The sequence below is a fragment of the Homo sapiens genome, chromosome 13 (genome assembly GCF_000001405.40).
Source record: "Homo sapiens chromosome 13, GRCh38.p14 Primary Assembly".
In the NCBI taxonomy this organism is placed as follows: domain Eukaryota; kingdom Metazoa; phylum Chordata; class Mammalia; order Primates; family Hominidae; genus Homo; species Homo sapiens.
This window is the reverse complement of record NC_000013.11, coordinates 48,940,542-48,942,009: the sequence shown is the minus strand read 5'-3', so window position 1 is coordinate 48,942,009 and position 1,468 is coordinate 48,940,542.

The window sequence follows — 1,468 nt, the reverse complement described above, 5'->3', positions numbered from 1 at the left end:
ACTGAGAAGACTAAGGACACTCTGACTAAATGCATTGTGGCATCCTGGGTAGGCATCCTGGAATATTAAAAGGATATTAGTGGAAAAACTTATTAAATCTAAATAAAATCTGGAGTGTACTTAATAGTAATGGACCAGTGTTGATTTCTAAATTTTGACAAATGTACTACTGTAATGTAAGGTGTTAACATTAGTGCAAACTGAGGGATATTCAGACACTCTCTGTACTATCTTTGCAATTTTACTGTAAATCTAAAATTATTCCAAAATAAAAAGTTTATTTAAAAATAAACCAATTACATACAAATGTAAATAATACATCTTAATTGAACACTATTTGCCAAAATAAAATTATTTAATAAAAAATGTAGTAAGGATAAGAATGGTTATTCAGGTAATTTAGATAAAAGAATTTGTTATTGACAATGAATGATGAGATTTTTCTAAACTGGTGGTCCACATGGATTAAATTTACCAAAGAATTTCTTATCTTTCTATCAAATCATCTAAAGTTACAAGATTGATTGGCTAAAGCAACAGCCGCTACTGCAGCAACGAAGGTTTTTAGCATTTGATCCCCAGCACTGAGCACTTAGGGCACAGTTCTCTTGTCTTCTTCTGTGGATTACCTTATCTCTTTTCTTAAGCAGTATCAGCATTTACCAAATTAGTGAGTTAGTGTTACATCCAGGAAGATATTAATTTACCCTGGCCCCCTTTACCTGGAGTTGCTAAAATATACTTTACGACTGCTTGCTGGTTGATCTCATTCCTAGTCTAGGACTCAGCTAACACAGGAACAGTGATGATTCCCAGATCTCTATCCTTACCCTCCTCTTGAGTTTCAGCCTCGTACATCTGACTCTTTTCTGGACATAAATTGGCTGTCCCATTGGTACCACAATGAAAACATTCCCAAAGTCAAGCATTATCTTTCTACCCTTCATTCCTGTTAAAATTGTTTCCCCACCTATATTCTTTTCCTCAGTTTTAACAATTATCCATCATTCAGGGCCAAAAAGAAACCTGGGAATAGTCCAAGTGACTTCCAGTGGCATCTTGCTATAGACACTTGTTGCTCAATCTCAGCCGTGATTTTTAGGTGAAGGACTGAACTCACTGCCTGCTATTGATTTTTTACCTCAACCTTACCTTTTGTTTCTGCCCAGTCTTCCATCCAGCTAGGTGCAATTATTGAAGTTGAAATCATCTATGTAGAAGTGATTGTTTAAGCCAAGGGTCAACAAATGTTTTCTCTAATGGGCCAGATAGTAAATAGTCTAGGCTTTGCAGGCCATATGGTCTGTCTAACCACTCAACTCTACTGTTGGTGAGTCGTAGAAACAGCTGTAGACAATATTTAAATAAAGGAGTGTAGCTGTGTTTCAATAAAACTTTACAAAAACAGGCAGTGAGCAGACCAGATTTGGCCAGTGGGCTATCCTTTACCAATGCCTGATTTAAGCCA